Raw genomic sequence first — 12,837 nt, forward strand, 5'->3', positions numbered from 1 at the left:
TCTCATTGGCATTTGTCCACTGCTACCGAGGAACACTCCTGTGCTTGTTTCTGCAGCAGACACTGTGCCAAGGGCTTGGTACTCATCATCTCCTTAAATCCTCACAATAGGCTGTGATCGAGGTGATTATGCCCATTTCAGAAGATAAGGAAGGGACTCTGAGAGGTAAGTTTTTAAATGAAAATCAATAATCAGCTCCATCAGCTTCAGCTGTAACACAGATAGCTTTTTTTTTTTTTAAGGTACAGAAGTAAAAGGGTGGTTTTAAGGAGGAGCAGCCCATGAATGTGAGCCGGGTGGGCGCATTTCTTTTTTCTGACTGAACCAATAGATGTTAGAGCCAGAGTGGCATTTGTTTGCCAACCACAGGGGCTAGCGTGGTGAATGCGAGAGTATCTTTATGCGGTCATTGGTTTTAGAAATCTCCAACCCAACTCCTCCACTTACTGCTGTTCAAAGAATAGCTTCCAAATCAAGATTTAAAAGAGTTATTCTTCCAGTAATTTAAGGTAATGTCCTGGATGTTCATCATAGGTACTCTGGAAGGGCTGAGCAGGCTGGGCCTTAGTATGGGGCAGGATGCATGGGAGGCTAAGCCTGGTGGACTTCTAGGAGGCAGCATGTCTCTGAACTGTTAGCTTTAATTTGTCTCATGTGAGATGAGAATTGAGAGGAGGGTTTAGCAATATTGGCAGTGTTTGTAAACGTTTGTGATGTTATGTGACATTGCCAGTTGACATTGGCCAACTGACTCATTGACCAGTCTAGGTATCCACGAACTTGTCTCCTGAGCCACCTACGATTTCTATACAACCCACGTGTATTAAGGTTTGTCAGCTGTAAGCCAATGGAGTATACAATTATGGAATTCTTTCTTTTCATCAAATGAAGTTTTAACTACAATTTGTCAAGGTAAACTGTGGCAATGGAATCCTGATGAAGGACTGGACATGAATAAAGCACCATTTGCTTTAATTTGGATACAACTTAAAGAGGAATAGCCTGAGCTTGATGAGTTTACTTTATAATCTTTTTCAGATCCCATCAACATGTCTCTGAGAGTGTTCTGTCTACTATGTGTTATTACAACAAAACATAGAAATCATTTAGGGAGACATTTTCCTCTACGAGTGCGGTTGTTGCTCAATTAGATCAGCCAGAAAAAAACCGATTTGTCATATTCAAAATACTAAATATTGATATACACAGTGTTAATTTATTATGTTATATAAAAGCATTGATTTGCAAGGTTTCAAAATTAAAAACAAAACTGAGCTTCACCACAATTTGAGAGCCACTGCTCTAATGGGAATTCCCAGGCAGGGATGGAAAAGGGTGTGTGTGTGTGTGTGTGTGTGTGTAACTGTGTAGCCAAACATAAAGGGAAGAGATAAAACAGCTCCCTTTCAGCAATAAAACCACAATTGTGTTGGATAATTATATATTGCACAGTCTCCATCGTAAACAAAAACAATTTGTTTCCATTTTGGTTGAAATGAAAACTAACTATTTCTCTTTTCCAGGCTGGCTTTGCTGCCTGGTCAGTGAGCTCAGGCCACTAATGAATGGCTGGCATCCCAGCGTCTACCCACAAAAGACCCACTCTGACCTCCCAGAGCGAAACCCCACTGTTTAAAGGGCACAGAGGGCAAAGCCCTGGTGGCTTCCCTCCTTCCCCCCCTCCATCTCACACCCGTCTTCCTGTAAACCTTTTTGCTTGTAGAGAACCTGCCTAGAAGGTGAGCATGGCCCAAAGTATGCCCCGACCACCACAGAAAGGCATTGCACCCAGCGCAGCTCTGGGGAAAATCGGAGCCTCCACCCAATAGCCCGAAGCCCGCCCTTTCCTTTGGAATCCACTAGTCCTAGGCCTGGCCGTTGAACTTTGGTTTTAATTTGCTCGTGCCACAGGGTGACTGACATGGGTTTTTTCCTTCTTGCTAGAATACAATTGCAAAGCGAGTCTTCATGTCCATGATGAGGAGGCCCTCTATGGAACTCTGTGTCATTTGGAAGATCCCCAGTGGTGATGGGTAAGAATAACAGCTGGCAGTGGGCCTTCCAACAGGTCTTTGGGGAAGGCAGAATTTAGAGCTGGGGGCCTCTGATCATGCTAGTCCCTCACACACCATTTCTCAGCGTGCCCTGAAGGGCAGAGTCAGTAAATGTGACCCCAAAGTCTGGAAGAAGGCATTCCCGTTTCTCTGGTTTAGAAAGGGGCTGCAGGCCAAGATAAGAGACCATTTGGAATGTGTCAGTTTGTGACTTTCACAACGTCCGATTAATTTGTCTTCTTTAATGTGTAAACTGCCAACATGACTTCCTGATTCTCTCATCTTTCTCGATTTCCCTTTTCATGGGATTTCTGAAAAGGGGTGACCCGTTGGTTTGTTGAGCACTCGTGGGTCACAGTTATGGGTAGAAACCAGGTCCCTTTAAGTGAAAGCTCACTGGCTTCACCTGGCCTGTCCCCCTGCCTGTATTTTGCTGGAAAAGCCTCCTTGGGATCACCACTGATGAGCGTATCATGCCACCATAGGATTTGATGCCTATCACTTGGTCTTCAATCCATCAAAAGAAAGGTGCTGGTCTCTGGTCCTGCCTGGAGTCAATGCAGACCTCAGCATTTGCTCTACTTTAAATTTTCTCTGAAGGTGAAGACAATGCTGCATCAAGCCAACCTACAAGTCCCTGCCCAGGGGAAGGTGTATTGCAATACGAGGCGCCCTAAAACCCATCCATAACCTTGGTGGATTCCACAAAATGAAAAATACTATAAGCTGCCGTTACACACGCTCTCCAATGCAAATTCCCTTCCCTAAAGATGCAGCTTATTTTCTTTTTATTGTATTTAATTCCGAAAGAATGGTCACACTTCTTTGCTAGGTAGGCAAGATGTTCCGGAGGACACACTAGAGAAAGCACCACTCCCCACCCTAACCCACATCCCCAACACACTCACCTGCCCACACTCACACAATCACATACACATGCCCACACTTATATACACATGCTGACACCCGTGCACTCATGTGCACACACTCATTCACACTCATACATATTCACACTCAGGCATACTCATACTCCTCATGAGCACACCACACTCACCTGTGCACACTCACCTGTGCACACTCACACACATGCAGACACTCATGGGCACACTCACACATGCTCACATGCTCATTTGCACCCAGACACAGGCATACACATCATTTGTATGCACACACGCACACTTTTTAACGTGGTAACGATTTACAGGAAAGAACAGCTGGAACTCGTGCTGGGATAACCAGGTACAAGTGCTCTCTGCAGAGAATAAGTGCACACAGGTTGGTGTCTTCTGACCGAGAGCCCTCCTGAAGGGAGGTCTGTACCTCCTCCCTCATCTCATTTTACACAAGGCGACAGGTCAGAGGCCAGGGTGGGACGAGAGCGAGGGAGCACTGTCTCTGGCAGCAGCACTTGCCACTCCACAATGTGGAGACCAGAACGGCACCCCAGAGAGCACAGGGGAAATGGCTCATCTTTAAAACAATGGCAGAAGAAATCCAGCCAAGGTCACTTTTCCTGTGTGAGCATGTTTAAGGCCAGAGAGTGGCTACTTCTCTGCCTCCTGCAGCTCCCTCAGTGTGGCTTGGAGGAGTTGGCGAAGCTTCCAGAACACGCTGGAGGCTGCTCTCCGGGTGTTCCCACTGGGGACCCCAGGGTCTGCACATTCCTGCACCGCCTCCTGTAACTGCAGCTGAAGCTGGAAAGAGACCGCAGAGCTCTTGAGAGGCGCGGAAAACCAATGGCGAAATATTTTGTCACAGATGACCTGAGGGAAAGAAGGGTGGACAGTTAATTTAGGGCAGCAAATCCTCCTAAAAGCTTCCCAAGCCCAGGATTGGTTCTGAAACAGATTTCAGCTTCTCTCCCACCCCCACCCCCGTCCTTCAGGGAGCACACTCCAGAGACCATCCGATTTGGAAACATGCCTTCACTTCTGCCCCTTAAACCCTTCAGCACCATGAACAAAAGACGCCTCCGAGAGGAGAAGCCAACATCTGTGTGAGGCAGAAACTTCCCTTTCCAGCCCCCTAGCAGATGGACAAAGTTCTGGGTGACACTGTAAAAGGACTGGACACATTTCTAGGGAGGAAGGGAAGCAGAAGTCACAGACAGTCACTGCTGCAGAAGGAGTTGGTCCTTTGCAGGCCTGAGGGAGGCCGGCTTTGCTGTTACCACCTGGAGATGAGGTTTCTTATCCACAAGCTGGTCCTAGTGACAACAATGACCATCTGACCGGGCTGTCCAGAGGGCCAAATGGTGCGTGAGGGAGAAGTGTGTGAACTTGTATGGCTGCCTGTATAGCACTTTAAGGCTCATGAAACAAAGGCATATTTGACAGAAAAGACTGCAGGCATAAGGCTCTTTGAAGGCTCTGTGAAATGTGTTATTCTAGGAGCAGAGGTAAAAATTAGACACTCTCTTTAATTCTAATCGGGTATGAAATTCAGTGATGCTGAGGATCACTAGAAATTTCTCCCTGTAAACATGTTGTTTGTTTTATAGCTCCTACAGCTTCCCCCACGCTGGGAGAAATGACCTGCGAGCTGCGTGATGCATCATGCTTTATTTCTCTACATCACACTTTATATCAGACTCAATTAACAAATGCCTCCATTGTAAAGAGCTACTGCTTCATAGAGGACAAAAACCTTCAACTTCCATTTCACAATCCCTGCAAAAGCAAGGATTCTTTTCAAAACCTAATTATGGTTTTTTTAAAATAGAGAATACATTTTCATGTGCAAAATTTAAAATGTTCTTAAGGCTAGACCGTGATCTCAGGCTCCACCTCACCCCGATGCTCAGCTCCCGCTCTGAGAATGAGACATTCTTTGACATACACACTTCCTTTTCCTTTCATTTTACACACAGGTAATATATTGTACACACTGTTCTCAAATTTCCACCCCCATTTATATGAGGGAGATCCCTCCAAATTGATTTCTTTTTCTTTTTGAGACAAGGTCTCACTCTGTGACCCAGGCTGGAGTGCAGTGGTGCCATCTTGGCTCACTGCAACTTTGACTTCCTTGGTTCAAGCGATCCTCCTGCCTCAGCCTCCTGAGTAGCTGGGACTACAAGGGCATAGCACCATGCCTGGCTAGTTTTTGTATATTTTGTAGAGACAGGGTTTTGCCATGTTGCCAACACTGTTCTTGAACTCCAGGGCTCAAGCGATTCACCTGCCTTGGCCTCCCAAAGTGCTGGGACTACAGGCATGAGCCACCACGCCCAGCCATCCCTCCAAATCAGTTCTTATGAGGATATCCCATGTGATTTAATGGCTACTTCTAAAATGTGTGCGTGTGTCGTAAGTTATTTAACCAGTTCCCTATTGATGGACTTGAGGTTGCATAATAACTTTTGCATTATGAATAATACTGCAATAAATGTCTTGCAGATATATGCTATTGCATTTTGTGCATGTGACTACATTTCTAGAAATAGGATTTCTGGGTCAAAGGGCACGTGCATTTTTTGTTTTGATAGATGTGTTAAATTGACTCCATAAAATTTCTACTCATTTACACTCCCCGGCAATGTATCCAAGACTGCTCGTCCTCCCTTAGCCTCTCCAACGCAAACGCCACAGATTCATTTTGCCAACAGGTGGGTGAAAATGGTTTAATTTGCATCTTTCTTAGTTTGAGAGTTATTTGTGCTTCCTTTTCAATGAATGGTCAAGTTTATATTTTTGGCCTTTGTTGTGTTCATTTGTAGATACTCTTTATATCTTAAGGATATTGCCCTTGCTTTAGGTTGGTTCCCCAGGAAGTAGACTCCAAGACGGAGGTTTGCATGCAGGGATTCTTTGAGGCCTGTCCTTGAGAACCACACTCCATGGAACTGAGGAAGAAGTAAATGTGTGGGGCTGGGGTGTCTCTATGGAGTTGTCCCTTAGTGAGGCATAGGGGGGCTTGGTGTTGGGCCCACCCTCTTTAACCAATCACTAGATGCTGCCCCTGGAAAGTGGGTCTCCCCTTGGCGAAGCCAGTCCTGGGGAGAATGAGCCCCAGCAGCAGGGAATAAGGCCCCTTCCACCCTCTACATTCCTGGTCTATAAGAAGAACTACAAATGTTTTGCAAATTTTCTCATTTAACTTTTAAATTTGCTCCTTTTTTTTGTAATTTTATTTATGCCAACATGGGTTTTTGTTTTTTGTTTTTTTTTTTCTGAAAGATAATTAAATTTGTCAACTGTTTCTCTTAGGCTTTGTTCATACTTACAAAGGCCTTCTCTACACTAGAATAATATTTGAAACTCTCCCAGCTTTTTCTGGTACCTTAAAGATTTCATCTTTTTGTGTGTAAGTATCTGAGCCATCTGGAATCTAGTCTGAGGTTAGGAGGAGGGAGCTACCATGGTGTTTGTCATGCCTGGCCAGCCAGTTTACCAGCACCGTTCACTATGCAACCCAGCTCTCCCTGCCTTGGTCTACAAGGCCCCCTTTATCAGGGCTAAATACCCGTATTTCATTAGTCTATCTCTGAGACAGTTTTTATTCCATTTCATTGATTTGTAAATTTATATAGAGCAAGAATTTTGGGGGTAATTTGGGTTCAAAATGCAGAAAATTAAGGCTGGGTGTGGTAGCTCAAGCCTGTAATCCCAGAATTTTGGGAGGCCAAGATGGGAGGATCACTTGAGACCAGAAGTTTGAGACCAGCCTGGACAACATAGTGAGACCATGTCTCTGCAAAAAATAAATTAAAAAATTAGCTACATGTGGTGGCACACACCTGTAGTCCCATTTATTTGGGAGGCTGAGGTGAGAGGATCACTTGAGCCCAGGAGTTCGAGGCTGTAGTGAGCTATGATTGTGCCACTGCACTTTGGCCTGGGTGATGAAGCGAACCCTGTCTCTAAAATAAAATAAAACAGAAATAAAAAGTAAAAAAGTAAGAAAATATAAAATAGATAAAGAAAATTGTAATCCTACCTTCCATAAATACTTGCTTTTGACATTTTGGTATATAAGGGATCGTATACTTTTTTTTTTTTTTTTTTGAGACGGAGTCTCGCTCTGTTGCCCAGGCTGGAGTGCAGTGATGCAATCTCGGCTCACTGCAAGCTCCGCCTCCCGGGTTCACGCCATTCTCCTGCCTCAGCCTCCCGAGTAGCTGGGACTGCAGGCGCCCGCCACCTCGCCCGGCTAATTTTTTGTATATTTAACAGAGACGGGGTTTCACCGTGTTAGCCAGGATGGTCTCGATCTCCTGACCTTGTGATCCACCCACCTCGGCCTCCCAAAGTGCTAGGATTATGGGATCGTATTGTAAATATTAATTTGTAACCTGCATTTTTTTCACCTAATAATGCTTCATATTTTCTCATATCCTTAAAGAAAATGTAATTTCATTTCTAGGACTGTATTCAAAGTCAATAACCAGATATGTGCACAAATAAAATTGCTCAGCTAAAGAGCATGGCTATGTCTAACAGCCACATCCCCTCAAGAGAGAAGTAATTCATTACAATCACGTTAACAATATAGACACTTTTCTATTTCCCTGAAGCCTCAACTGTTAATTAATAGCATTTAAAGAACTATTCCCAATTGGTAAGTGAAATTTACTATCATTGGATTTTAATCTGAATGTCTTTGAATGGTAAGATAAAATACTTTTCCAAGTTGTTTGGCCATTTGGATTTCATTGGTTGTGTATTCGGTGTCTGTTCTCCTGCCAATTTTCTGTGTGTTCCTCTTGCCCCTTAATGAATCGGTAAGAGCCCTTTCTACAGAAAGGGTATAAACTCAGCCTCTCGTTACATTGCAAAGAGCAGGCGTTTGTGTTCCCATTTTGAGGGTTGGGATCGCAAGGCGGTGGATGCTCAGGTGAAAGTTATCTTCTTCCCACAGCTCAAGAAGAATGATTTCATGACGAACCCCATCAAGGGTGTGAGTCCACATTAAAGAGGCTGGGATGGAGACGCCTCTGAAAGCCACTACATTCCTAGGCTTCCTGAAAGGGGAATTACTCAGTGATTCTTTGGCCCAGAAGGTCTGTGTAGACCCTGGGGTGGCAGAGTCGGGGTGTTTGTTTGGCCTGGCTGGGACCACTAGGTTAACAGCGGACCTGTCCCAGCCTTCCCAAATCATCCCCCATCACAGCTGATGCAGCACCATGCTGGGCTCCCCTCTCCTGCTCCCACCTTACCTGCGTTTTGGGTCTGCAGTGGGCTCACATTGGCCTTTCAGGTTTAAGGAATGAGGAGGACAAGCTACAGTGGAGGGCCCACTAGGGGAGCGGGTTGGATAGTGTGGGTCCAGAGCCTCTGTAAGCCATCGCATGCAACCAGGCCATGGGGAAGGTCTGCCTAGACACTGTGGGGCCTCCTCCGGGTATGATCAGCACCTGTGGGCCCAGATGCATCCTCCCTCACCTGAGAGCCTCAAGTGAGGGCAGAAGGAGACAGCTTCTGCCAAAAGAAGAGAGATGATCCAACCCCAGATGGGGGACCTGAGACCCGCCAGCTCTGAATGCCTGAACCCTGTATGTATTCCACTTGTAGCTGATCTCCTGGACTTGGCTCCTTTCTTCCTGTCTAAACCACCTCCTGGTCCTGACCTCTGGCCTGTCTGGATGGTGGTTTCTGTCTAACCTCTAGTTAGGCCAGTGTCTCAGGACTGCTTTGCACCCTTCTCAGTATTATCTTTGATGGATTAGTCTCAGGATTCTCATAGTGTATGTGCCCATGTTTATGAGAGGTTGTAGATACGTGGGGTGGAGCCTGGGCAAGAGGAAGCCCAGCAGCCAGCTCTGCAGGGAACTCCCTCATCAGATGCCCCTGGTCGCCTGACCAACAACCCTGGGGGCAGGCAACCAAGAGCACGATTGTCCCATCCCCACCGTCCTGCCTTTATTGACCACATCGATCCAGATGGATGGCCTGAAAAGGTCGACCTTGAGCTCCACTGAGGGTATCTGAAGAGCTAGCGGGCAGAAACAGCCAAAGAGCACCCTCTCCTCCCCCAGCCCTGGCGGACTCTCATACCTGCAGGTTGTTGTTTACGCGCTGCGCTCCGCATTTGTTGACTCGTAAATCACATCTTGAAAAACAGTCAAAGAAATTGCAGTCTTCATCTCCTGTGCAGTTTTGCTCAAGGATTTCCCTCATTTTAGGTTCAAAAAAGGCCATGTCCACATCAATAGCCACCACCTGTAATCAAAACAGCACGGGGCTATCAAAGGGCTACTGGTGGGCTCTGCAGAGAGGGAGCCTGTTCACAACTTCTGTTCACCTCGTGCGGGTGCCACTGTCCAGGTCACAGGTGATCCCAGAAGTCCCAAGAGCCAAGAGGAAAGCCCCAGCCATGCCCTGGGGAGTGGATTCATCCCCTAAAGTGTCTGCATGCATTTTCTTTTTCTTTTTCTTTTTTTTTTTTAATTGAGACGGAGTCTCACTCTGTCACCCAGGCTGGAGTGCAGTGGCGCGATCTGGGCTCACTGCAAGCTCCGCCTTCCGGGTTCACGCCATTCTCCTTCCTCAGCCTCCAGAGTAGCTGGGACTACAGGTGCCCACCACCACACCCGGCTAATTTTTTTGTATTTTTAGTAGAGACGGGGTTTCACCGTGTTAGCCAGGATGGTCTCGATCTCCTGACCTCCTGATCTGCCCGCCTCGGCCTCCCAAAGTGCTGGGATTATAGGCATGAGCCACCGTGCCCGGCCGCATTTTCTTTTACACAGGCAACTGTCATAGCTACAGCGGAAGGCTTTAACTGCAAAAAGGACCTCTGCAGCCATGGGTGAAAGCCCAGGATTTGGAACTATCACCACAAGTATTGCTTTTCATCTTTAGACACTTTCTCAGCTTTGCAAGTAGAATCTCTGAGAGGCGTTATACATGAATTTCCCCTCTACTGCCTTATCACTTGGGTCTGTGACCTTCAAGATTCAGGACTGTAAAAGCTGTAAGATACAGAGAACCTATTCCGTGAATACAAGCTATCCAGGGAAGCCACATTCGAGTGGCTGGTCTCCGGGTGTGATGGAGAAACTGAGGCGGGCAGTGCCTACGTTCTCTTCATGACACGTCTGTTACCTGAGTCAGCTGGCTTTGGACTGACCAGTCAGACGACAAAGTGGGGGAAATATCAAAGTTATCGAATTAGGACTGATACGCAGAGGCCCTGAACAGGAGCGACGCCTGAGTTCCACTGTCATTGTGAGAACCTGATGACCCCTGGAACTTCAGATTTATCTCCCTGGCATCCAACCAAACAGACTTCAAAACCAGAGAGAGAATAACTTCTAAATTATGCAGCTCTTCCTCCGCCACCTGGATGCAACAACAAAAACAGATGAGCTCAAACCTGAGAAAACCTGGAATCTGCCCAAATCAAGCCGTTTATAGCTTCGAGGTATTAAACAGCCACTAGGACAGTTGATGAATTTGATGGAGTCAGTGGCATTTCACAAGCCTTCACAGGTCAGCATCGAGATACCAGCCTTTCTGTCTCCCCCTGGGAGTTTCAAAAAGGGTTGCATTTGTTGTTCATTCCCTCTTCAATTCTACGCAGTCTGGGAGGCACCTTTTGGTTTTGGTTTTAGTTTTTCATTCAGGATTGATGCTAGAAGGCAATGAAGTTTCTTAGGGATTATTTAGTAAAACAGAGTAGGGGGAATTATTTATTTCAAAATATGTGGAGAATAATGAAGATAAACAATATAGACCTTTTCTCTATGTAAGGGGTTTTGTCTAATTACTAATTCAGGTGCTGTAAACAACTTCTCATTTTAATCTTTCCTATCCCATTATTTAGCCACAACAAATAGCCGATTTCATTATTTACTCTGGTTAATAAGTGAATAAGGACTATGCTAATGAATCTCCCATCTTTATAATTCATTACTGGGGCTACACGACTCTTCTATTCTTTCTATGGTTTCTGCCGATCTCCCCAGCCTCCCCTGGGCCCCTACTCAGAATTTTAGCTTCTTGCAACTTCTCCTTCCCATTTCTGATAGTTTCCTTCTCATCTCCCAGGGAGAGCCAGGTTTATTTTTTAATTTTTAGTGTATGGGGTCTAGAATGGATTGCAGCTGTTATAAACATAACCCTATGCACCTAAAATAAGAACAGTATTAAAAAAAAAAACAGAAAAACCTACATCATGTTTCTTAATATCAGGAGAATCATAAAGTCCTTCCTGCATAAAATTACCTAACTTGCCTCATCTTCTTCAGACTTCCTCCTGGCATCAGAGGAGGAAGATGAATGAGAATTATTTCATTCTTCACCAAAAACTGTGGCCCTGGAGTAGGAAGCCATACCATCTGTTGGAAAAGAGCACTGGCTGGCAATAGTTTCAGATCATGAAGGTTCCTAGTTATTCATTTACAGCCACTGGACACTTTCTCAAGATCTGCAAGTGGGCACCTGCCCTGCAGATGAGAGAATGACTGTGAATGACCAATTCTTACACCTCTGCTGGGAGGCGCCCCTTCCTTCTGCCAGGGCAGCCCAGCAACCTGGGCTCAAAGGCAGGACCCACCCGCCGGGACTCTGAGATCACTAGCTCTCAAACTTAAGCACATATGAGAATCGACTAGAAGCCTTGTTTTGAAGACAGGGATTGCTGGCTCCCACCCCATCGTTTCAGATTCAATAGGTCTGGCGTGGCATCTGAAAGTTTGCATTTCTAAATGAGCTCTCTGGTGAAGCAGATACTGTTGGTTTTCACTTAAAAGTTGTACAGTCTTGGGTAAAATAACTCCTTGAACCTCAGGGTCTGCAAGAAGGGTCGAGAACCGGACTGGTGAAGGGGACTCCTCCTGCCCTCCCCTCCCTATTCTTGTCCAGGCCAAGGCTGCAGTGGAGGTAAGAGCCCTGAGCGGTGCAGCACCAGCCGACAAAACACAGTCTGGGGCTAGGTTGAGGACGCATAGTCACGATTTCATTGAACAAATATTTTCTGCTGATGGTGTGCAAGATACTGGAGGCACAACTTAGGGGGCTCCCACAAACCAGTAACTGGATAATCAACAAGTATGTAGGTAAAAGCATCTGATGTCGCCCACTCGGCATCACAGACCCCATCAGCCCCAGCTCCTTCGAGAAGCAGATATCCTTGAAATTCCCTCAACAATTACAGCACCTTCTGGGTCCCACTCATTGATGCCCACTGATACCTGCTGGAGGAAGAAGGGAGTGACTGAGTGGCGAGAACTGGCCCGCAGCTGCCCAGAGCTGGGGGTGGGGGTTGTACGTGGACACTCCCTGACTTCCTCCCCAAGGCCTTAGTGTGGCTGTGGGTCGTTTCCCCCCAACACACATATCAGGACAGTGTCTGGGAGACGCACATGGCACTCAGGGAATTGCAGACGCGGGTGAGTTCCCCCAGAGCTGCCAGCCCAGCACACAGACCTCCTGGAACCTCCCAGAACCTCCTAGTTATTTCCTTGCCACACTTTGAGGCACCCGTAGGTTGTCAGCCCCTCCAGGGCAGCAGGGGGCAAGGCATTAGGACAAAGCACTGAGGGTAAGATGTATGATGCCCTTCACAGGCATGAGGGCATGCTTAGAGAAGGGATTTACACCGGCAGCAAATTTAGTTTTCCAGCTGCTTTCAGAAGACCATGCCATTCCTATGCCACCTGCCTTGGAGGCCATGACTGGCAGTCACAGTGCCTGCTTTTTGTCCTTTTATGTTGCAACCATGCTGAAGAGCACGACCCCACCATGAGCCAGGCTCCACAGTGACCAGCATGCCCAGGTGACGAGCTAAGCTGGTCTGGCCGTTCAGCTGCCGGCACTGGCCGCCTAAGAATGAACTCGTT

At 46.5% G+C, this 12,837-nt stretch overlaps 1 protein-coding gene across 3 annotated transcripts in view, besides 1 other annotated feature; it reads right to left on the reverse strand.

Annotated features, from left to right (window-relative positions):
- Positions 1-1,872: 1,872 nt before the first annotated feature.
- Positions 1,873-12,837, reverse strand: part of DIPK1C (divergent protein kinase domain 1C) — a 29,874-nt gene continuing 18,909 nt past the window's right edge. For 2 of the 3 annotated variants that reach the window (XM_017025551.3, NM_001044369.3), the window contains exons 3-4: positions 9,050-9,214; positions 1,873-3,817 (exon numbers count right to left, since the gene is read on the reverse strand). In XM_017025551.3, coding sequence (XP_016881040.1) covers positions 3,599-3,817; positions 9,050-9,214 — 384 coding nt within the window. In that variant the 3' untranslated portion in view covers positions 1,873-3,598. Of the gene's footprint in view, positions 3,818-9,049; positions 9,215-12,837 lie in introns of those variants that run through there. The other variant, XM_047437299.1, reaches the window with a different exon arrangement.
- Positions 12,268-12,769: an enhancer, noted in NCBI's record as "H3K4me1 hESC enhancer chr18:72112405-72112906 (GRCh37/hg19 assembly coordinates)". NCBI's record gives its function as "activates a minimal SCP1, AML or CMV promoter by ChIP-STARR-seq in primed H9 embryonic stem cells {active_cell/tissue: H9 hESC(primed)}" and the evidence as "EXISTENCE:reporter gene assay evidence [ECO:0000049][PMID:30033119]".

The sequence above is a fragment of the Homo sapiens genome, chromosome 18 (genome assembly GCF_000001405.40).
Source record: "Homo sapiens chromosome 18, GRCh38.p14 Primary Assembly".
Classification (NCBI taxonomy): domain Eukaryota; kingdom Metazoa; phylum Chordata; class Mammalia; order Primates; family Hominidae; genus Homo; species Homo sapiens.